The sequence below is a fragment of the Homo sapiens genome, chromosome 22 (genome assembly GCF_000001405.40).
Source record: "Homo sapiens chromosome 22, GRCh38.p14 Primary Assembly".
Classification (NCBI taxonomy): Eukaryota; Metazoa; Chordata; class Mammalia; order Primates; family Hominidae; genus Homo; species Homo sapiens.
In genome coordinates, this window is record NC_000022.11 from 32,570,079 (window position 1) to 32,595,134 (window position 25,056).

Sequence of the window (25,056 nt, forward strand, 5' to 3'; positions counted from 1 at the left end):
GCCACAATGGCTGGACTTATCTTGCTCATGCATAGCTTCCGAGGTCGATTAAACATGGTATTTAACCAACCTCCCTCCACACACACTGCCTTCTAGGGAGGACTGGAAAGCCTGCTGACTGTCCTGCAGGACTTGGGAGGGGTTTGTCTATATCCAAAAGACAGACAGTGGAGGAGGATGCTGAGCGTGGGGTCCCGCCAGGGGATGGCTAGACTCCTTGTCTGTCTGGCTCCCTTGTGAAATACTGGGAAATTAAAGGCCATTGTAAACATTTCCCAAAAGCAGTAAAGATTTTTTTATGCAGATGGGGATGTGACTCACTTTACCAAAGTTAAAGGGTCTAGAGCGTTGTGCTGAGGTTAGGAAGAATTGGAGGTTTTTGTTTTCTGATTAAAACATTGAATTTTAATTTTGGAGTTGAAGCTGTGCATGTTTCTCTCCCAGGTAGATCTGGGAGTAGGGAAAGGGGGTGTAGTAGGGTCGGGGGAGGAGTCTCAGGAGGGAGGGAGAGGGTGGGGTGCTGAGAAGTGTGCTCTGAGTATGCCGCATTTAGCAACTCTACCCTTATAGAAAAAACAGCTTAGAATCTCAGTGTGAAGGGACGTGAGTTGGCATCTGGTCAACCCTCTCATTTTGCAGCTGAGGCACACAGGGAGGAGCAGGTAGCTTGGATAGGGTTACTTACCCATGAGCCAAAGACCAACACTGGCTTCAAGCCTGCTCAGCACTGGGATGCTGACTTCTCTCTACCAGTGACCCACAATGCGTGACACTGGTGGCCCACAGGATGATTTAGGGGGGACACAAATGAACATGGATAATTTTAACAGTTAGATATTTATTTCAAGGTGTATTAGGAAAAATTATCTGGCCCATAAAACTCATAATCTATGGTAGTGATACAAAACACCATTTAAAAATATATTTAAGCAGAGCAAGAGGGAATTGTGTGTGTGTGTGTTTCTAAAATGTTGGCTAAATAACAGAATGGGTGACCTGTAGGGTGTCCTAAATCATGACCACAGTCCACTCCATCTTTAGGGCTTTTGGTGCTACAGGAGGCAGTCTGAGGAAGGCCTTTCAGGCTCTCCTAGAGTTTTAAGTCTGAGAAGGAGCAAACTTCCCCAGAGCATCCCCCCTCCCCTTCTCATCCTCCTTTCTTCTCCATTTCTCTCCTCCTTTGACTTTGTCTTCTTCCTTTCCATCCCCAGTGCCCAGAACAACCAGTAGGCAGCGGGAGTGGCTGGCCCTGGGTTGCTCTGGGAGGTCAGGATCTGCCTCACTCTACCCATTCCAGGAGCTTGGATTTATGTGGCACCCTGGCCACCAGGGGCAAAGCCTCAGGCCTTTTGCTCATCCTATCTCCAGGCATGTTAAGCTCACTCCATCTATCATTTTGGCCAGGGCTTCCTAACCTGTGAAGCAACTCAGCCTAAGCTATTAATGGGTTATAGTGGATAAATATGTAACAAGCAACCTCCTCCCACAACCCTTGACCTATGGCGATGGTACCTTAATACACCTTCAAGTCCTTCTCCCAAAGTCATAATTAAAAAATAAAACCAAAAGACTATGAAAGGTGGCACTGTTTATGTGTGGGTTCTAGCTAGGGTTAAAATAAAATGAATGAAAGTTCTTCTCTGCCAGCCTTCCTAAGAACAGCAACTGCAGGGGACTGACTTCGAGAGTCTTATCTATTGAGTGTCTTCTAGAATCAAACCCTTCATGAAGGCATCAGCTTTGTTTTGTTCACCACTGCATCCTCAGTGCCCAGAACACTGCCTGGCACTGGGTAGGGGTTTAGTTGGTATTTGTTGAGTAAACTAATGAGAGTATCAGGCTGTGTGCTCGGTGTTGGCGCTCCAGTTGTGGTTTCTGCCCTTAAGGTCTAGCCCAGAAGAGGAAACTGCAGATGGTGAGATGGTGCAGTAAGATGGGGCTGTGCTAGGCCCAGAGCTCGCTCACAGGAGGGCATGAATCGCATCATGCTTGGGCAAGCAGAGGAGGCTTTAAGCGGGGAAGGTACTTAAGTTGGGTCTTGAAGTATGATTCTCAAGGGGAAGGTAGGCTATGACGTGATCTGAGGTGTATAAAGTACAGGTAGGTTTGGGAGAGCTTGGCTTAAAGAGGAGTTACCATTTCTGCCCCTGGAGTCAGATTCTGGCTCCTTCCTTCCTTTCCTTCCTTCCTTCCCCCCTCCCTCCCTCCCTCCTTCCTTCCTTCCCTCCCTTACTCCCTTCCCTTCCTTCCGTCCCTCCCTTCCTTCCTTCCTTCCCTTACTTCCCTTCCACCCTCCCTCCCATCTTTCCTTCCTTCCCTCCCTCCCTCCTGTCTTTCCTTCCTTCTTCCTTCCTTCCTTCCCTCCTTCCTTTCCTCCCTTCCTTCCTTCTTTCTCCTTCCCTCCCTTCCTTTTCTTCCTTCCTTCCTCCCTCCCTTTCTCTTTCCTCCCTTCCTTCTTTCTTTTTTCTCTCTCCTTCTCTTTCCTTCCTTCTCTTCTCTTCTCTCTCTCTTTTTTTCCTTCTGACACAGCATCTCACTTTGTCACCCAGGCTGGAGTACAATGGTGCAATGATAGCTCACCGCAGCCTTGACCCCCTGGGCTCAAGCAATCCTCCTGCCTCAGTCTCCCAAAGTGTCAGAATTATAGATGGGAGCCACTATATCTGGCTCTCTGGCCATTTCTGACAATACACCAGCCCCAGGACTTCAGCAACTCCAGCTCGTGTCTTCCACTCCTCTGTTCCCCATCTCACTCTCACTGGCCCTCCTTGGCTCCAGCCAAAGTTATCAGGGCCTTGCGTTGCCACTGCGGGTGTTTGTTTTCAGATGATAGCATTCGAGGGGGCTCGACTCAAGAACACCAACCATGGATAAGGGCTGGAAGCAATGGTGTCCCGGAGCTGGCTCAGACTTGCTTATAAGAGGTGATTGTTAAATATTTAGACATCTTGTCAGCCAGTTATTAGATCATTGTTAGGTTGAAATCATTTGTGGTGGAAATATTTATACCCCAGAAACTGGCAAACACAACATATTAGGGTTCCCCCCTGTTTTCCCCAGAGAGCCAGTTTGCCAGCACACCACTGGCTGGAAGACAGTTTATGACTGTTTTCAGTATTCCAGGTAAGGATATGACATGTTGCACAAATGGCTTGATTGTCATTTTGTTAAAATAAAATATTTAAAAGCTTGACTTTAAAGCATCCAAAAAGGACACTCAAATGTTCCACACACATGAGCTGCCTGGGTGACCTTTTCTGGTGCAATCCTCAGAATAAGGCCTCTCCTTCCATCTTGGTTTATTTGGAGATTGCAGAGAAAGCCGGTAAAATACTGGTGATTTTGTCAACACTATGCTATTCAAGGACACAAAATAGAAAGGGAAGTTGGGTGCTGAGGCTAATATAGGACTGAGTTCATCAAAAGGGCCTTATTGTTCTCTTGATGAACTCTATCATACATGTTGTAAATGAAAAGTTATTGAATAAAATTACAGCTAATCTAATGCTACTTTTATCCATGATTTCAAGTTTCCTGTAGGATTTCATGCAAAAGGAGAGTTTTGAGTGGCCCAGTTCACTCATGTTTTGAAAGAGGACACAGCAGCCCCCGAGAGGAAGTCACTCTGTTTTGGTGGTACAACTGGAAAGGAAAAGGAAAGGAAAACTCACAGGGGAAGGAAGGGGTTTTTTTTTTTTTTTTTTTTTGGGAGACAGAGTCTCGCTGTGTCGCCCAGGCTGGAGTGCAGTGGTGTGATCTCGGCTCACTGCATCCTCCGCCTCCCAGGTTCAAGTGATTCTCCTGCCTCAGCCTCCCGAGTAGCTGGGATTACGGGTGCCCGCTGCCACGCCCGGCTAATTTTTTTTTTTTTTTTATTTTAGTAGAGACGGGGTTTCACTATGTTGCCCAGACTGGTCTCGAACTCCTGAGCTCAGGCAATCCTCCCGCCTCGGCCCCTCAAAATGCTGGGATTACAGGCATGAGCCACTGAGCTTGGCTGGGGTTTTTTTATTTTTAAGTTAGGACTCTCATCTCCCTCTCAGGGCCCTTTCCTTGATGAGGAAAGAAGTGAAAGTGTCCAAATTTCATTATTTTGGCAGGAAATAAAACCACCATCGTGAGCCGGGTACAGTGGCTCACACCCACAATCCCAGCCACTCGGGAGGCTGAGCAGGAGGATCGCCTGAGGCCAGGAGTGTAAGATCACCCTGGACAACATAGTGAGACCCTGTCTCTAACAAAATAAAAAAAGTAGCCATGTTTGGTGGTGCACGCCAGTAGTCCCAGCTACTTGGGTGGCTGAGGTGGGAGGATGGCTTGAGCCTAGGAGTTTGAGGCTACAGTGAGCTATGATCACGTCACTGTACTCCAGCCTGGGCACCAGAGACAGACTCCATCTCTTTAAAAAAAATCACCATCGTGTTCGATGCCAACAGCACCTGAACACAACCCACGCTTGCTAGTGTTTCATAACATGCACCTACAGGGGCTAATGTGGTTTAGCCTTGCTGGTTTCTCTGACCTCATCTCCTACCACTTGCCCCCTCCCTCTCTCTTTTACTTCCTAGAACTCACCAAGCTCAGTGTTGCCTCAGGGACTTTGCCCTTGGTACTCCCTCTGCCTGCAAAGCTCTCGCTGCAGCCAGTCCCATAGCTAGGCAGCGCCTTCTCATGATCTGAATAGCTGATGGATCATCCCATCTAAAGCAGCCCATCTGTTACTCCCAGTCATATGCTATTGCATTACTCTGTTTTGTGTTTTTCCTCGCACTTAGCACTGTCTGAAATTATTTTGTATTAATAGTTTTCTATACCCTCCAAAATAATAAGCAAAATATGGGCTCTATGAGAGTAGGGACTTGGTCTTTTAAACTCGCAAATGTATTCCCTGCTCCTTGCACACTAGCAGGTGTTTAGGAACAATTTACTGAATGAATAAAGGGATGCTGACCCTGGTACCTAGGCCCTCTTTTGACCTAAGCGGGTGGTTTTCAAACTGAATTCTATGGAGGGAATGGCGCCATGCCGGGAGCCCGGCTGGGTGGGTCTCTAGATCTCTTTTCTTTTTTCATTCAGAACAGCTCCACTAGGATCTGTTTAATATACTAAGTGTTTTCATTGTTCATTGGACAAAGGGCTCAAAGTCAAAAGAGCAAAGCCAGGTCACTGTTGAGGAAGCATTGGGTGGAAGGTTGGACGCCACATCTTTGGAAGTCCTCTTTAACCCCAATACTTGTGATTCCATGAATGGGACACAAGTCGAGTCAGCTTTGATATTGAGATGCGGTGGCAAGAAGAGAAGGACCATGACAGACGTGTTCTGGCGAGGGAGTGGGTGGGGGTTCCCCAAGCATGGGGGTGGGGGTCTTCCAGAGGGCGGCAGCCTGGTTCTAAGTTCTTCCTGCAGCTGCCTCAGCTACCTGCCCCTGAGTCATGACCTGCGATGCACTGGCTGATGCTTTTAGCTGAGGCCACATTTGAGGATCCAGCATTTTCCGACCACAACTTTAAACATAATGTTTGCTCCTCCACTCACCAAGAGAGCAACGGTCTTGCTCTCTGCGGTCTCATTAAATAGGATTCTATTTTCACAGCACTCACTTTTAGGACATTCTTATTTGCTGTTCCAGGCTCTCGGAGAGGCAGCCCAAGAGGCGCTGCTGCTAAAATGACTCTGGGCACGGTAGAGATGGGGAGATACGGAAATGAATAGCAGCTTTGTTTATTTGGCATGGGACCAGGCAAGAGGAGCTATATTAAAAAATAAATAAAGTTCCCCTTCTTTCCTCAAGACAAAAAACAAAACAAAACAAACAAAAAAAAACAAACCTATTCCGGCTGCGTGGCCAACAACACAATTTCCCTCACAGAACAGAACAGATGTGAGTACATTGAGATTAACTTTGTAGGAAGAAATTTAAAAAAATAAAATAATGATGAGCGGTCGTGGGATAGGGCTGGTGAGGGGGTAATATCAAGAGTATTTGAGATGCCCTCATTAGGAAGCCGGAAATAAAATGAAGCAATGGCCTGAGTATGGTTCTATCGACATATAGACACTCTGAGGCACCCACATATCCACAGGGCTCCCAAGTATTCCTGATTCCCTCTCTCGCAGACCTGGCTTGAGGTCTTCCCACAGTGGGGAAGAGATAATAACTATTAATAGTATGGCCATTCTCTGAGCATTCACCATGTGCCAAGCTCTGTGCCGAGTATCCCGTGCACACCATAATGGATGTAATTCACCATTCTTCCCACTGGCTTCGCTTGTCTGAGCTTCAGTTTTCCCTTCTGTAAATGGGTTTAATCAGATTACCTACCCCAGAGAGCTGCTGTGACAACTGAGTAGGAAAACGCACATGAACTACGAAGCACAGGGCCTGGCACCTAGTATGCGGTCAATAAATACACGGTTTATGATGGTGACTATTTTCCGTAAGGTATTTCAAATTCAAAATGTTAAAACCTGAACCCATTCTCTTTCCCCTTCAAGCCATTTTTTCTTGATTGTACACTTCAGTAATGGAATCGTGATAATCTTGAGTTCTTTTCCCGCCTGGCACAGTCAGTTCCCAAATTCATTCAAGTCTGCCGTTTTTCATATCACTCGACTGCATCCTTATCTCATTCCTCACGGCCTTGCTTCCTGCCTGGGTACAAACCCTTATCATCTCTTCTCTGAACTGCCGCAGTTTCTTCCTAATGGGGCCCTAATCCCCCGCTTCCAACCCCCACCCCTCTCTTCTCTTCACACCACTGCCAGGACGCCTTTTTTCCCTTATGAATCTGACCATGCCTATTCTTTGCTTGAAACCCACCAGTGGGTCTCTCTCACCAAGAAGATAAAGCCTGTATTCTAGAGTGTAGCATGAAACACTCTCATGATCTGGCCCCAGTCTCACTTTCTCTTCCTGGCCTCACTCCAGCCCAGGGCTTGTCCACACTGGCTTCACATTAGCATCACCAGGGGATAATACAATGCCAGCATCTGGGCCTTACTCCAGTCAATCACATTAGAGTCCCTGGGATTAGGCCCTGGGCAGAAGTGGAATTTACAAGCTTCCCGGGTGCTTCGAATGCACTGCCAGGGTTAAGCATCGCTGCTTCCCCCCATTCTGAGCAGCTTGCTTGGGCCTTTATGCTTTTGTGTGTAGGTCCTGCTGTGTTGGACAGTTTGCTCTGCTTTTTCTACCTGCGATGTCTCCTTATCTTTGGAGACACAGCTGAAGTTTCCCACCTTTATGGAAGTCTTCCCTGGGACCCCCTCGAAGGGGCTCCTGTTGCCCATGACATTTCCTGCTATGACAATGTAATCATTTGCTTGCATGGCTAGATTCCTGCTAGAAAGGGACCCCCTTGGGAGGCCCAATGTCCATTCATCTTTGGATCCTCACACTGTTGTGGTTGTCTAAGTACAGCGTCTACACACACTTACATGTTTTTTTGATAAATGAAAATATCATTGGAGATTTGTCCTCCATCATGACTCTAACTGGATTCTCAGCTCTTGGCTTATATTTCTGCTTTAGAGTTTATTCATTCTGCCTTGATCACAGTACATTGTCTACATGATCTTCCTCCACCACCTGTCCTCACTCTGGGAGCTTATTTCCTACCACTTTTTACCTCAAGCACTCACTCCTGCTCCATTGGCCTCCTCCCTGTTCCTTGACCTCCCTGTTCCTGCCCCAGGGCCTTCGTCTGTGCTGTTCCTTCTGCTGTCATGCCCTTCCTCCACATGTCCACATGACTCACTCTCTCCTTCCTTTACATGGCACCTCACAGAAAGGCTTCTCTGATCACATTCGTCACACTCTGCCTCTTACTTGGTGTCTTTCTTTTTCAGAGCCCTTCTCATCTCCTGATATATGGAAGATTTATTTGTTTATTCTTTTCTTCATCTGCTTCCCTCCATAGCATGTAAGCTGCATGGGGCAGGGACTTGATTGTGTTTGATATTGCATCTCCAGTGCCTAGAATAGTGCCTGGCATGTACAAAGTGCCTGGATGCTATAAATACTTCTTCAATACACGAATGAATGAAGATGATTTGCTTTCTAGTAAGCCAGTATTTTCTTTCTTTCCTTTTCTTTTCTTTCTTTCTCTTTCTTTCTTTCTCTCTCTTTCTTTTTCTTTCTTTCTTTTCTTTCTTTCTTGCTTTCTCTCTCTCTCCCTCTCTCTTTCTGACAGGGTCTTACTCTGGGGCCTAGGCTGGAGTGCAGTGGCATGATCATGGCTCCCTGCAGCCTCAATCTCCCATATTCAGGTGATCCTCCCACCTCAGCCTCCCAGGTATCCAGGACAACAGGTGTGCACCACCACACCTGGCATTTTTTTATTTTTATTTTTAGTAAAGATGGGTTTTGCCATGTAGCCCAGGTTGGTCTTGAACTCCTGGACTCAAGCTATCCACCTGCCTCTGCCTCCCAAAGTGTTGGGATTACAGGCATGAGCCACTGACCCTAGTCAAGCCAATATTTTTCAAACTGTGAGTTTGAAATTGGTCATCAAATCAACTTAATGGATCACAACCAACATTTTAAAAAATAAAATACACTAGAACTGAAGATATCACAATTCCTTGAACATAGTAAGGGCAAGTATTATTCTGTAAAACTTATCTTGGTCAATATACAGTATCTAGCAATCAGGTGGCAAGACAAAATGTATTCCTCATTGGGGTTTATTGTACACATTTTTGGAAAAGCATTGTGTTAGGCCAGAGATTGGCAAACGTTTCCTGTAAAGAGTCCAGTGGTAAATATTTTAGGCTTTGTAGGACATAAAAACTATTGAACTCTGATTTTGTAGTGTGAAAGTAGCCACAGACATTATGTGCACAAATAAGCAGGGCCATGTTATAATAAAACTTTATTAACAAAATCAGGTTGTGGGGCTAGATTTGGCCTGTGGGTGGTAGTTTGCCAAGCCCTGCGCTAGACTGTTGTCTAGCCTGTGACTATGTTTCATATGTGTAAATTCCCTTTATACAGGAGCTATGTCTTTTTCATCTCTGAATCTTAACCATGAGTGTGTCATCCCAGCATCTAACCCATTGATTAAATATAACAAATGTTCATGAAATGTTTGCCAATATATTCAATGAACATTTATTGACTCCTTAACTCCAAACAGCTTGGCACCAAATCCATCAGTATTTGTTGAATGAATGTAAGAGCCATGTCTTAGTCTGTCTGGGCTGCCATAACAAAATATCTTAGACTGGATAATTCAGAAATTTATTGCTGACAGCTCTGCAGGCTGGGAAGTCCAAGATCTAGGTGTCAGCAGATCAGTGTCTGATGAGGGCTTTATAGATGGTGACTTTTGCTGCATTCTCACACAGCGGAAGGGGCAAGGGAGCTCCCTCACACCTCCTACGTAAGGGCACTGATCCTATTCACGTGGGCAGAGTCCTCATGACTTAATCACTTCCCAGAGGAACCACCTCTTAATACTATCACATTGGGTATTAGGTTCCAACATATGAACCTAATAATATGTTTAGGAAGACACCAACATTCAGACCATGGCAAGCCATTAGTCTCAAATTCTCAAAAGCCTTTGCCCCTCCTCCAACCCTTCTGAAGATCAGGACTCAGAGCTCAAAGGTGTCCTTGCCCCAGCCGCTTGGGTCACTTGCTGCCAGGGGCCAGAAGGGGTGGTGGGAAGGTGATGGGAACAACAGGGTTTGATGGACTGTTTGGGGAACTGTCTAATTATCCTGCTTATCAGTGCTGGTTCCTTTTCTTAGCTCTTTCCCTTAATAAATGAAAACTCCTTCTGTTGTTATTGAGCTCCCGGGTCACTGATTCTTTTGAGTCATATAAACCACATGTTTATAGAGTTACAGTGTGACCGTGAAATTGAATGGAGGGGAAGGGAGGCACCAGAGAAGTGTCAGCCTTGAAAGGCAACACTTTCTCTTCCCAGGCTTCTGCTCATTGTGTAGGGCAAAGGACAGGGCTTTCCGCTGTCCAGGGCCCTGGCCTAGGCGGGGAGGGGAGCTGAGGTCACTGGGTACAGCTTGTGCGTCCACAGAGCTTACAGCCTGGTTGGGGAGGGAGATGGCCAGGCTCAGAGTTGAAGATGACCTAGATCATGCGTCAACAAACTATGGCCTGAGGGCCAAAGCCAGCGCACCACCCGTTTTTGTACAGCCCATGGGTTAAGAAGAGTTTTCAAAATTTTAAACAGCAGTCTCCCCTTATCCATGGTTTCACCTTCTGTGGTTTCAGTTACTTGCAGTCAACCATGGCCCAAAAATAGGTGAGTACTATACAGCAGGACATATTGAGAGGGAGAGACCACATTCACATGACTTCTGTGACAGTAGATTGCTATAATTGTCTGATTTTATTATTATTTATTATTATTTCTCTCTTACTGTGCCTAAATTTATAAATTAAACTATATCACAGTTGTGTATGTATAGGAAAACCCAGTAAATGTAGGGTTTGGTACTGTTCATGGTTTCAGGCTTCCACCGGGAGTCTTGGAATGTATCCTTTGCCAATAAGGGGGAGCTACTGTAGTCGGGAAAAAAAATCAAAGAACAATATTATTCGAAGTGGGAACATGATATGAAATTCAAATTTCAGTGTCCATGAGTAGAGTTCCAGTGGAAGATAGCACTGCCCATTCATTTACGTATTGTCTGTGGTTGCTTTCCCACTACAAGAGCTGACTGAGTAGCTTCAGCAGAGACCATGTGCCCTGCAAAGCCTCAAATAGGTAGCATCTGGCTCTGTGCAGAAAACTTTGATGACCCTTGCCTAGATCATGGTCTAGCAGCATTGATATCACCTGGGAGCTTGTTAGAAATTCAGAACCCCAGGCAGGCGGGACTGCAGATCTAGTGAATGAGAGCCTGCATTTTAACAAGATCCCCTGGGTGATCTGTGTGCACAGTCAGGCGCTAGAGGAAGCAAATCAACATCTCTTAAGTATCTACAATTTTTTAAGAGTGCGTTACCTCAATCAGTCTTTAGGTTAATCCCTTTTCCACTAGGGACATTTACTGGCCCTGTTTTGTTTTTATTTTTTGAGACTGAGTCTCGCTCTGCCACTCAGGCTGGAGTGCAGTGGTGCAATCTCGGCTCACTGCAACCTCTGCCTCCCAGGTTCAAATAATTCTTGTGCTTCAGCTTCCTGAGCAGCTGAGACTACAGGCGCCCACCACCACGCCCAGCTAATTTTTATGTTTTTAGCAGAGACGGGTTTCGCCATGTTGGCCAGGCTGGTCTCGAACTCCTGACCTCAGGTGATCGGCCCGCCTTGGCATCCCAAAGTGCTGGGATTATAGTAGGCATGAGCCGTAGCTCCCGGCCAACTGGGGCTATTTTACAGGTGAGAAAAACAAAGATCGCACGTCAAGTGCTCGCCCAAGGTTATATAATTAGGAATTGGCTGAGTCAGATTTAAACTCTTAGGTCCTTTGTACATCCTGTGGCCTTAACCATTAAGCTCAATGGTCCCCTATACAGAGAGGGTAAGGCCAAATTCAGTGTCTTCTGTCTGAAGCTGGAGGCACTAAACTGGCTCCCTAAGATACCCTAAGTGGGTGGCTGTTTTATTTGACGTATACAGTGTTTCAAAAGATTTTTAAATTAGTTGCCAATATTTAAAAATAAGGAGTCTGGATATTGGAGACCCCAGATAATTGATTCTTTTTTTCTTTTTCTTTTTCTTTTCTTTTCTTTCTTTCTTTCTTTTTTTTTTTTTTTTTTTTTTGAGACAGAGTCTCACTCTGTGGCCCAGGTTGGAGTGCGGTGGTGTGATGACAGCTCACTGCAACCTCCGCTTCCTGAAGAATTGAAGCAATTCTTCTGCCTTGGTCTCCCAAGTAGCTGGGACTACAGGCGTGCACCACCAAACCCGGATAATTTTTATATTTTTAGTAGAGATGGGTTTTCACCATGTTGGCCAGGCTGGTCTTGAACTCCTGACCTTGTGATCCACCCATCTCGGCCTCCCAAAATGCTGGGATTATAGGCGTGAGCTACCACACCCGGCCTGAGAATTGATTGTTATAAAAGAATCTGGAAATCAGGCTTCCCTGGCTGGGGCTAAGTTGTGACTTCTCTTGCAGGATGGCCTCGAACTCCCAGCCTGGGCTTCTGACTCATGGTAATGCCTGGTCCCTTGGGCATCTGAGTTTGCATCCCTTGGTCAAAACCAGTGGTTATGCAGAACAGCCTGCAAATCACCTGTGCATTTTGTTAAAATGTAGATTCAGAGTTGGCAGGTCTGGAAACAGGTCTGCATTCTCCCTTTTTTTTTTTTTGAGACCGGGTCTCACTCTGTTGCCCAGGCTGGAGTGCAGTGGTGTGATCACAGCTCACTGCAGCCTCGACTTCCCAGGCTCTAGTGATCCCCCTACCTCAGCCTCCCAAGTAGCTGGGACCACAGGCACATGCTACCACAACCAGCTAATTTTTATTTATTTATTTATTTAATTTTTGTAGAGACGGGCTGGGGGTGGGGGTGGGTCTCACCATGCTGCTTAGGTTGGTCTTGAACTCCTAGACTCAAGTGATTCTCCCATCTCAGCCTCCTGAAAACTTCTGGGATTACAGGTGTGAGCCACTGTGCCCAGCCTATGTTCTGCATTTTTAAGGGGCTCCCAGGTGATACGGATGCTGCCAGTACTTCCATAGGGCACACTGAGCAGCAAGGCTACCGAAGAGCTCAGGACCGTCTGACTTCAGGGCCCATTGCCCAGATCATCTGAATCGGTGCCCTTGGCTGCTGATCCATTATCTGTTAGAGTGGCCAGGGGCCTCTAGGTCCTTCTCTTCAGCTGTTAGCAGCCTCCTCCATCGACCTGCTGAGTTGTATAGCTACCACTCTTTTCTAGGAGTGTCATGACGTGAACAAGGCTGAGCAGCATTCACTGGCCCATCACAGTGCCTCCTTTGTCTTCCAGCTTCACCCCTGGAGGACAGAGCTATTGGTATGGAGGTCTCCTGGGGGTGAAGACCAAGAGTCAAGCAAGAGATCAGGGTCTGCCGCTAGTGTCCTATTGATCTGGAGGCTTAATGGAGGCAGATGTTTGTATTTTAGAAAGCTGCTTCCCCTACCCCCAACACATGGACAGACACACACCCCAAAATGTAACAAACCCATTGTCTGCATCATCTGTGGTCTTCCTGGAAAACAAGCCTGCCATGGCCACCTGTCGGCAGTGATGCCAACTGCTCCCCGGTACAGCTATTTCCAAGATTCCAGAGATGTGGCTGGTTTCACTTCCAGGAAGCTTGCTGGAAGACTGCCCTGTGCCCCACGCCTCAGTAGGGCAGGGGGCCTCCCCTGGTTTTAGGATCATGCTTCTCCTGCCTGCTGATGGTAAGAATGGGCTGTGCCTGAGCGTTTTGGCTAGAGAAGCCCTCAGCAGACATATAGGCTGTGTTCCAAAAGGCCTGGCAGAACTCTCTGGAGTCTTACCTCCCCTGGCATGGATGCCAGAATCAGTGGGAAGAACGTGTGCGTGTGATATGCAGCCCTGTGCAAATCATTTCTCCTCTTTGATCTCTGCTTATCTCATCTGTAAAATGAGTATCATTGAAACGGTCCTCACAGGGATAACAAAAATTACATCCTGGGTCCTGTGCAGAAATATAGTTCTATTAAGCACTAATCAGGCCACACTTTGGCCCACTTCCTTGTAACTGAGAGTCAGGTAGCACTAGATACTGACCATCTGCATCCTCATTGTTCCTATACCTAGGATTTCTAACCTTAGAATCATAGGTTTTTGTTTACGAATTGATTTATATCCCCATTGTTCCTATAGCTACGATCAGTGACCATGGACTCATAAGGCTTTTGTTTAAGAATTGCCTAAGATGTTCTTCAGATCCTGAATTCCAGCAGGAAAGCTAATGCCAACCAGTTTGAAAACAACCACAGAGGAATCGAATCAGCACGAGAATGCAGTTTCTTCATTTCCCTGTCCCATGACTTTACTCTGCACTCTTTGACCAATCAATAATCCTGGACCTTGGCCCACTTCAAACCCCTTGAAATCTCTAGCTCCAACTCCCTGGAGGGGTGGATTTGAGGTTTCCTCCTGTTTCCTTGTTTGGCTGCCGTATGATTATTAAACTCTTTCTTTGCTGCAATCCCTGTTGCCTTGGTTTATTGACTTACTGTGCATCGGGCAAACAAACCTATTATGATGACATCATGACGCAATATCCACCTCAAAGGACTGCTGGGAGCCTCAAAAATTTACAAATTTGTGAATTGTATGTGACTGTCTGATGCCGGGGAGCAGCAAGGAGCTTTTGGTGATTGGAGTGCGGTAAATTATAATGTTCCCCACCCCACCGGGTGATGTGTGCCCCACTTCTGTCTGAGGGTCTCTTAAGGGGAAGAATTCTCTGGCCTTTGTTAGATGCAGTGTCAGGATGGCTCAACAGACATGACCAGGAAAACAGAGAAAAGAAAAAAGGAAATCTTATTGCTTTTCAATGTCTGTCAGTTAAAAAAAATTGATATTCTTTGTTTTTCATGGAGGGGTCCTCTGCATCAGTGCTCATAAGAACAGACAATTTATTTCTTCCAAATGAGTCTGTTCCTGGGCCTCTGTCCCTCTTGACAAAATGGGGCTTATAGATGGTGTACACTGTCTTTAAAACACAGTGCCAGAGGGTGGTATTCTTTCTTTCTTTTTGTTTAAATCATTCTTTTGAAATGAATGTTCTTGGTTTTGGCTTCAGGCCTGGTGTGAGATCAGTTGACCAAAACACAAGAGCAGTTCATATGCAAAAGGTCAGTGCTGGTCTCAAAGGTACTGACATGTTTCTTGGGTGGGGCCTTGTGAAATTCTTTATAAATAAACTCTCTAATTAAGTTGGCTCCTTGCCTTGTACTGGGAAGAGATGATTACACCAGGGTGTTCCTGAGGGTCCCTGGCAGCAAGCAGAACAGGGCTGTCAATCTCAGTCCAAATTCTGCTTCACCACTTACCTGTGACCTTGGGCAGAATGACTCTTGGCACCTCTATAAAACAGGGATCAGAAATACCTCTGAAATACCTCTGAAGGTTAGAGGAGATGCACAAGGCACTCATCGTGGTGTACGGGCACTTGGGAATTGTTACTATCCTCCTTCTCTTTCCTTATTCATCCATGTAATCTGCTCTGAGCTATCCCAGAGAAGCAGAGGCCCAGGGAAGTTAAGAAATTTGCTGAAGGTCACAATGCTGGCAAACAGTTGAGCCAAGCTCAGAACCCCAGCATCAGTTGGTTTTCCCCAGCGCCAGTCTAAGCCCAAAGCCCATACTCTCTTTTGCTTATCTCCCCATCTCCTATTTCTATGAAGCTTTAGACTTTCTAATGCACTTTTATTCACTAGCTCTCCCAAGTGATTGGGTGAGGAAAATCATGAAATAAGGGAAAATTGCATTTACAGGTTTAAGTGACTGGCACTGGTGGTTACTGCTGGCCCCAGGGAGTGTGAGGCTAGCAGGATGACCCAGATTTCCCAAACCAGGCCAGGGCTCTTTCCAGTGAACCAAGGATGATGTGAAGATGCAGGAGGTGGCAGAGGAAGATCTCAGGTAGAGGTCTTAGCTTTAAGTTCTTGTAAGAAAAATGACTTCATGATCTAGATGGTCCTGCCTTCAACAGGTGAACATTGGGTTACACAGAGAAGCAGGATGACTGTTTCAGTTAGCTCTGCTTACGCCTAGAATCACAGCATTTTAGCTTTCAAAGGCAGGAAGCAAATTTAAGGACTCTTTACAAGATGGGCATGTGTGTCTTTTATATGTATATATACGTATATAGACATATATACGTATATATACGTATATATGTGTATGTATACATATATGTGTATATACGTATATGTGTATGTATACATATATGTGTATATACGTATATATGTATATATGTATGTATACGTATATATGTATGTATGTATACGTATATATGTATGTATGTATATATGTATATGTATATATGTGTATATGTATATATGTATACATGTATACATGTATATATGTATATATGTATACATGTATATGTATATATGTATATGTATGTATATACATATACACATATACACACAAACACATGCACACACATGCAAATATACACATGCAGTTGATTCTCATTATTAATGCTAGTTATGCCTTATAAAGTTGCAGTGAACACTGAATAAGTGAATACTGACCCATTGCTCCTAGGAGAAATACAGAGTTAAGTTCCTTTAAGCCTCTGGTCACAATATTTTCATCCAGTGATTAATATATAAACTTGTGTTATGTGTGTTTCTGCTGAAAGACATTTTAATATATATTGTTGATTCATTGACATTAAACTCAATGCCAATGGTACTGTATAACTCATGCCTAAATGAAACTTATCTAACACATCTATTTTTTTCCATAAAGAATATCACTTAGGAAGACTAGACAGCACTTCAGCACTACACTTCGAGGGCATTTTAAACAGTGAAATCATCAACAAAAAGCACAAAAATGCATAAGTGTGGCACCAAATAGACTGCAAGAAGGACACTTGTTTACGGTTTGAGAGCTGAAACCAGGAGACAGAGTGTTATCTTATTTGACTCAAATTTTTCACCACTCTGAGCAGGTCCGTGAATGGCCACAAAACTGCTGCGAGATTTCATTTTGGGGCTACAAAGGAATTTTTGCAAGTAGATGAATTGGCAAACATGGAGTCTGTGAATGATGAGGATGGACTGTGTATGTTGCATTTGTGGAGAGGACAACTTCATTGCAGAGGATGTGTAAAGGGAGCACAGTGCCTAAAGTCTTCATTAAGGTGTAGGGGACTGATGTATCCCCTCCCGAGGGCCCACTGTGCTCAAGAGAAGCAGAGAATACGCCGGGAGCGGTGGCTCACGCCTGTAATCCCAGCACTTTGGGAGGCTGAGGCAGGTGGATCACGAGGTCAGGAGATTAAGACCATTCTGGCCAACATGGTGAAACCCCATCTCTACTAAAAATACAAAAATTAGCTGGGCATGGTGGCCTGCGTCTGTAGTCCCAGCTACTCAGGAGGCTGAGGCAGGAGAATCGCTTGAACCTGGGAGGCAGAGGTTGCAGTGAGCCGAGATCACACCACTGCACTCCAGCCTGGGTGACAGAGCAAAGCTCTTATCTCAAAAAAAAAAAAAAAAAAAAAGAGAGAGAGAAGCAGAGAATAAAGGAGGCCAGTGGCCATCAAAAGGGAGTGGCAGGTAGGTGAGAGAGGACATAGGGAGGGAGGTGGGATTGAGAGGGAGGGCAGTGGGTGTTGGGGGGGAGGGTCCCTCACGGTTTAGCTGGGTCCCAGAACTCCCTCCCCCTGAACACCTCGTGGGTGGGTGCCTCTTCTCTGCTCACTTTTGGCTGGACTTCTGCTGATCTGTGAAACACAGAGAGACTCTCCTCTCTGGCTGTCTCCCAGTTGCGGGGAACCTTTTGATTTCTTAACTATTCCCCTGGGATCCATTCCTCTATTTGCTCATTTTCTAATACTCCCTCTTCATCACCGTGTTACTGGGCCACTGACTCCCACTCCAAAGGCCGACCAGGCCCGGAAAGCTCATAAAGTGAGTCAGCCTAAGAGAAGGGATCCGAGTCCAGGTCACTTGGAGCTGATGACGGCAGCGAACCTGGCTAAGCCAGCGTGTGCAAGATGCTGGCGCTGCTGGAAACATCGCCTGGAGGAGCGGCCCTCTCATCACCCGGAACAGACAGGGGTGTCTGCAGAGGTTTCCCAACCTGTCATCATTACTCTAGGGTCTTCTTAGAAGGACAACAAACCCTGTACCTGCATGGCGGAGTGTTAGGATATCTGGTACCATGTCACTCCCCTGAGCTCAGCCAGACTGCCTGAGGGTTGTGCCCCACTCCACCATTTACTGCTTGTGCCTCAGTTTCCTGATCTGTAAAATGGAAGTTCTAATAGTATCCACCTCATAGGGTTGTTATGAGGACTGCACTACATATATACATATAGCACTGAGAACAGTGCCTGCACAGAGTAAGCTCTACAGAACACTGGCTTTTATTATTGTGATTATTATTGCTCGTATTATTACTACTCTTCTCATCTCTAAAGAATGGAATGGGGCTGAACGATTTCAAAGGCCTTTCTTTCCCTTCCTGTTCTGTTACTGGAGATGCTCCCTTGCTGTGTGGCCTTGGGCAAGGCCCTTGTCCTCTCTGGGCCGCAAGTTCTTATCTTCTAAGTGAGGTGCTGGGAGTCAAGCCCTGAGAGCCTGAATCTATGAAATAAGGATAAGATGACTCCTAGAGTGGGGTTCATTTGTGACTGCAGCCTCTCCTGGGGATGCTGAATTTCCTTATTTTAAGAATTTACTCAGAATTTAATCCAATTCCTCTCCCCTTTTTGTCTATTGTAACTGCTTATTTCATCTCAGCTGAGATAAATGGTTAAGTAATCAACATAACAGGGTATATTTGTAGTGTGTTTTTAAAGCTCCCATTCACTGAACCAACCACCTTCCTAAGCCTGGATTAATTTATTCTATCATCATTACAACCCTGGGAGGGAGATTATTGTCCCTGTGTTAGAGATGAGGAAATTGAAGCACAGAGAAAAGTTAAGCAACTTGCCCAAGGACACACAAACAGTAAATAGTAAATCCAGATTTAAACCAGGAACCTTGACTCCAGATTCTGTAAGCTTTACCCTGACACTATACCAGCGGTTGGCCTTGAGCTTAATTTCTAATTCTACGATGGAAACGCTGAGGTGGGAGGCAGGTCTTTACTCCAGACCAGACTGATGACTGGCTGAACCAGGGAAGAGGCAAAAGCACCTCTCCATAAGACATGCTCACCAGTACATGCCAGTTTACCCTTGCCAGTAACTCAGAAGTTACTGCCTCTTTCCATGGCATTGACAGATCCACCCCTTTTCTAGAAATTTCTGAATAGCCCGCCTCTTAATTTGCATGTAATTAAAATGGGTATAAATATGACTGAAACACTGCCCCGAGCTCCTATTCTCAACACACTGCCTGTGGGGTAGCCCTGCTCTGCAGGAGGAGTCACGGAGCTGTAACACTGCTGACTCAATAAAGCTGTTTTCTCCTACCACTGGTTTGCTCTCTTGCTCTTGAATTCTTTCCCGAACAAAGCCAAGAACCTTCCCAGGCTAAGTCCCAGTTGTGGGGCTTGCCTGCTCTGCATCAACATGATATTGAGCAATTCCTTCCAATGGACTGCTCATAACATTGGTTAATACCACAGAATCTCATCATTGGAGGATAATGTAAGGGTCACCTCCATGGTGTCTTAATTGGGCTGGTCAGGCGACTAATGAGAAGCTGAAGGAAGTTATGGACCCCTTTCCCCCAAAATGCTCATGTCACATCCACACATAAACACACATGCAAGTTTGTCTCTATTTCAGGGGGTGCAAATATCTCAGGCTAAGAACCTCACATAATACTTAATCTCTTGAAACTCTCAATAAGTTTCCTAACTCTCTCATCTTTGCTCCAACTGTCCAGTGATGAGAACCTCTTACCTAAGGGGGCAGTCCAGTAAGATGTGCCTCTGATTGTTAGAAAGTTGCTCTTTCCACAGGACTGATAACACTGATTGGGTCCCAACTATGCCCACTAGATGTTATGTAGAATCGGTCTAATCTATCTTCCCATGATAATCCTCCATGTTTCTGAAGATGTTGTTGGTCACACTCTCTCTAGTTCTTCTGGGGTATATGCCTCATCCATCCACTACTTGGTTCATTCTTCCATACATTAATTTGTCACTATCCCTTTCAAACACCCAAAATTGGTGCAGCCCAGAACACCAGAATCTTCTGGCTGTGGACTGGCTAGCTAGGTGCAGGGCTCTTGTTTTTGTTCTGGGTATCATCTTTCCATTCATAGATCCTAAGAGTGAATTACATTTTTAAAATCTTATTTTGAAATATAGCACAACTATGAAGAAGGGCAAAAACAAAAAACAACAACTCAATGAACTATCACAAAGCAAATACCCACATAACCACCCCCTAAATCAAGAACTAGAACTTTGCCCACTTCTGCCTCATCTCCATGACTATCCCTTCCGTCCTCTCCGAAGATAACTTCTATTCTGACTTTTATGGTGATAATCTCTTGCTTTTCTTAGAAGTTCTATCACCTAAATATGTATATGAGTTAATGCTATAGTTAAGTTTTCCTGGTTTTTAAATTTTATATAAATGGAACTATAGAAATAGGCAATCTTTTGTTTCTGACTTATTTCACTAAATGGTGTGTTTGTGAGATTCATTCAAGTTGCTATATGTAGTTGTAGTTCATTAATTTTTATTGCTGAAAATATTCCATTTATATGAATATACTACAATTGATTTATCTATTCTATTAAATGGACATATGAATTTCCAGCAATTATAAACAAATCTAGCATAATCATGTGCTTTGGTCACACATGCATGTATTTAGGTCAGGTATACCTAAAATAACTCCTGTGCGATCAGCTTAGTAGACAATATCAAGCTATATTCCGAAGTGGTTGTACAAATTTATGCTTTTACAAAAAATATGTACTTTCTGTGTGTCTGTTCCAACTGTTCCATGTTCTCACCAACACTTAGCATTATTAATCTTTTTAATTTTGGCTATTCTCGTGGCTATAAAGTAGCAACTCATTGTGGTTTCAATTTGCATTTCCCTGATGACTAATAAAGTTGAGCCTATTTTCATCTATTTATTTGGCATTTGTTGATTAGAGCTTTTGGCAACCCAGTCCTCATCTGAGTCATACTAAACTTGTAGCCAAGTGAAATAAATTATGTGACATATGATGCTATTTAATCATATCTCCCCTACTGACTTAGGTTGGATTTTGGGTGCCCAGAACAGGTCTGAACATTCTTAATAATGACGGGCCATATTTCTGGTGTGCCCACTTGTTTCAGGCACTGAGCTATGTGCTTGACATATATAATGTCTCTTAATCCTCACAACCAGCTTACGAAGCTCATACAATTATTACTATGTTCATTTTACATGAGAAGAAACTAAAGTGGACGAGGCAACTTATCTAAGGTCTCACAACTATTAGGTGGTGTGACCTAGATTCAAATAAACACCCTTAGCCACCGTAATAACAATCTGCTTCCAAAGACGGAGACATATGGCTGCATTTAAAAAAAAAAACTTAAAAATTGCTAAAAACTGAATAATAAGGCAAACATGTCATTGTCAAAAGGAGAAAATAGTTCCAAAGTATGACAAAGCATTAATGGTTTTCGAATGTGAGATGTTCTTACAAATTAATAAAAGGACAACCATCTCAATAGAAAATGGCAAAAGTTTTCTGGGGTTAGATAAATCTGGGAATTTCTACTTACTTTTCCGTTCTTGTACCCCAACAATGTATATGACCAAATTTATGACTCTAAGAAGTTCTGCGCTAAAAGCTTACTTTAATGCAGAGTTTTCCAAACCTATATGACAAAAATAGATTTTGGCATCCTGAGTAATTACAATTCTTCAGAACATGCTTTGAAACATGTTGAACTCTATTATCACCACGGCTTCCTCTGGTTTCTAGTCTGGTAAAATCTCCAAAAAAGGAAATGAAGTTAGTTTTGTGCAATGTTTCTCAACCTTGATACTCCAGTAGTCCCTTCTTATCTGTGGTTTTGGTTACCCACGGTCAACTGCGGTCCAGATACATTAAATGGAAAATTCCAGAAATAAACAATTCCTAGGTTTTGAAGTGCACACCATCCTGAGTAGCGTGATGAAATCTTGCACCACCCAGCTCCATTCTGCCCAGGACGTGAATCATCACTGCGTCCAGCACGTCCATGCTGTATATGCCACCCACCCGTTAGCCACTTAGGAGCCATCTCAGTTACTGGATCCATTATCACGGAATGTTCAAGTAAGTGTTATTCTACTTCATAGTGGCCCCCAAAGTTCAAGGGCACTGTGCCTAATTTATAAATTAAACTTTATCATAGGTATGTAGAGGAATAATGATTCAGAACTATCAGTGGTTTCAGGAATCCACTGGGGGTCTTGGAATGTATCCCCAGCAGACAAGTGGGATCGACTGTATTGACATTTTGGGGCAGTACAATTTTTTGTCGTGGGAAGCTGTCTTATGTACTGTGGATGTCTAGCAGCATCCCTGGCTTCTACCTGGTAAATATCAGTACTACCCCCTCACTGTCCCCAGGTTATAACAAATAAAATTGCCTCCAGACACATCCAAATGCCTCCTGCCCGGGGGCAGATCATTTTCCTCCCAACCACTTGTCTAACCTGACTGACTTCTAACGAACTTATGGTATCCCCATGAATACGGACCACTGTCTAAGCACTCCCAAAATGGCACAGAGTTTCACCATATTTTGATTTCTGTTTCTCATGATGTCCACTATTTTTTTGTTTTAATACAAGGGGGTAATTGTTCCATCTCTTGTCTTCTAGTCTTTTTTATTTTTTAGGATTTCTTAAATCTCCAGGCACACCCAATCACATGCAGTTCCCCTGATGCCAGGTTTCCTCTTACTAGTTGAATTTTCTCCTTTCCTGGGCATGCTCTTAATCACCAGTGCCAACAAAGGCCATGCACTTTTCTTTCTAAATCAAGCCTCAATTCTCCTAGGATGCCTTTTCCAACTAGGTAGAATTAAGTTCTTTTCTCTAAGCCTCATACCCTCTGCACAGCCTTCTACCAGGCCCCCAACAACACATTATGCATATTTACACGACTATCTCTCCAATTCCTTGAGGACAGGGACTGGGTCCTATTGATTTTCCAATTCTCAGCATAGAGTAGGCACCACAAGTATAAAAGAACAAAGGAGTGAAGTATAATTTGGGATAGGCCAGCAATTGCATCCATGGGGGCCTGGGTAGATTTCAAGCAACACTGAGCTCATTGACAGCCTCCTTACCAGCTTTCTTCTAGGAACGTTCTCTTTGCTTGTCTCCAGGAGGACAATCTTCACTCCCAAGAGAAGGTAAACGTACCACAGGTACCAGCTTTGTTTTTCTCTCTCTCAGCTATGAATATGACATCCTTTGCTTCATCAACTTGGTCGAGACTGTTACTGCAAGTTTTCTCATTCCAAACATAAGGAGAAAAGTCCTTTTCCCTTGATCTCAGCATTTTTGCAAACCTCAGTTTATTCTCGTCTGTGTCATTTTTTTTTTTTTTAATCCTTGGAGTGCACCCTCCTTTCCATGTTTTGGGAGGCCCTTCTGGACCTGAGTTTCTCATCTCTTTATTTCCTTTTTATGTCCTGTTGGGGATTATTTTAAGCTTTAAGCACAGAGTTTAATTCTTGGGAATGCTTTGACTTTACCAGAGCTGTCCAAGATAGTGGAAATGGGTGGAGAGAAAGATACAGGTCAGAGAAACATTAACAAGGGGCAATTGACAAGACTTGGAGACCATTTGGACATGGAGGAGGGGGAGATGACTCCCAGGTTTCTGTTTTGAGGCAACTAAATGACTGGTGGTTCCTGCTGCAGAGATGGAGGTCACAGGAGGAAGCAGAGGAGGAGGAGAAGGAGGGAGGTGAGGGTGTCTGGGAAGATGCTGAGCCTGGTCTGGGATGTTTAGGCTCTGAGGTTTCCATGGGAGACAAAGTAGAGATGTAGAGGACATAACTGGATATAAGAGCCTGATGCTCTGGGAAGGAAAAAGGTGACTCGGGAGTCTGTTGGCATGCAGATGGCAGCTGAAGCTGAGGTAGCTGACAAGAGCACTCAGGGATCGTGTGCAGATGGAATAGCCACGGTTAGGGATGATGCAGGAAGAAAAGTTCTTGAAGGAGAACAAGAAGGAGTGGCAAGAGACAGAGAGGAGGAAAGCCAGGAGAGAAGCATGCACCAGAGGCCACTATAAGGAGAGTTTGGGACAGAAGGATGGCCAGCCACTGTAAATGATAGAGAGAGGTGGATTCCAATAAGGACAGAAAAGTGCCTGCTGAATTAGCAACAGACGATCATTGGAGACCACTGAGAGGACAGCTTTAGTGGAGTGGAGGGGGCTGGAGCCATATGCAAGGATGGAAGAGGCAGTGGGAGACAAGGGAATTGGGGGGCAGACATAGGATGATGGTTAAAGAGGGGTTCGTTCATTCATCCACCCAAGCAAGAAGTGGGGCAGGGGGCCTCCTGTGTACCGGGTGCCACTCAGGGCTCTGGGATACAGCAGTGGAAAACCAGGCAGAACTTCCTGCCCTCAAGGTGTGTACTTTCTAGAGAGATATACTCTGAAGGGAGGACTCTTTTTAAAAGATAGTTATTAGAATTATCATTTGACTGATGAGGAAACCAAGAGAAGTTAGATGGTAACTCACCCAAGTTTATGAAGATGTCCAAGCTATGGGTCATGCCCTGATCTGCCTGACCCATTCCTTTTGTTTTGATTTTTCTTTTCTTTTTTTTTTTTGGACTGAATTTCACTCTTGTTGCCCAGGCTGGAGTGCAATGGCGTGATCTCGGCTAACCGCAACCTCCACCTCCCAGGTTCCAGCGATTCTCCTGCCGCAGCTTTCCAAGTAGCTGGAATTACAGGCATGCGCAACCACGCCTGGCTAATTTTTGTATTTTTAGTAGAGACGGGGTTTCTCCAGGTTGGTCAGGCTGGTCTCTAACTCCGAACCTCAGGTGATCCACCCTCTTTGGCCTCCCAAAGTTCTGGGATTATAGGCGTGAGCCACCACGCCCAGCTGACCCATTCCTTTTTAGGCTGCCTGAAGGGAATGGAGTTTAGCCATACAGAAGGTATAACAGGGTAGGGAAAACTATAGATGTGAGGTGAAGAATTATTCACGTCTGGGTGGGCCTACTCAAAGAAAGGTGTCTACTTGGCCTCACATTGTTTAACTCCAGCTGTACTTTATCTAGGACCCACTATGTTGGGCATTGTGTCTGGGCTCAAGTCCCCTCCAATGTGAGTGGCAGGTACTGAGACCCACATGTTCCCACTTGTTTCTGAACCAGAGGCTTGAGAGGCAAACTGTGGGAGACCCCCAGTGCCCCCTTTCCTGTGGGACTCTGATGCACATGGTTTGACTG

General features: G+C 44.9%; 1 protein-coding gene and 1 long non-coding RNA gene across 20 annotated transcripts in view; one reads left to right on the top strand and one right to left on the bottom strand.

The window, feature by feature from the left end:
- SYN3 (synapsin III) overlaps positions 1-25,056 on the bottom strand; it is a 550,562-nt gene that overhangs the window by 62,259 nt on the left and 463,247 nt on the right. The gene's annotated exons all lie outside the window — the stretch shown is intronic.
- SYN3-AS1 (SYN3 antisense RNA 1) lies at positions 4,861-16,441 on the top strand. 2 transcript variants are annotated; one of them, XR_001755503.2, is made up of 4 exons: positions 4,861-10,272; positions 13,799-14,308; positions 15,421-15,568; positions 16,406-16,441. It is a non-coding gene; the product is annotated as an SYN3 antisense RNA 1 (long non-coding RNA). The 2 variants fall into 2 exon arrangements; XR_001755501.2 differs by lacking the exon at positions 4,861-10,272 and adding an exon at positions 11,678-13,350.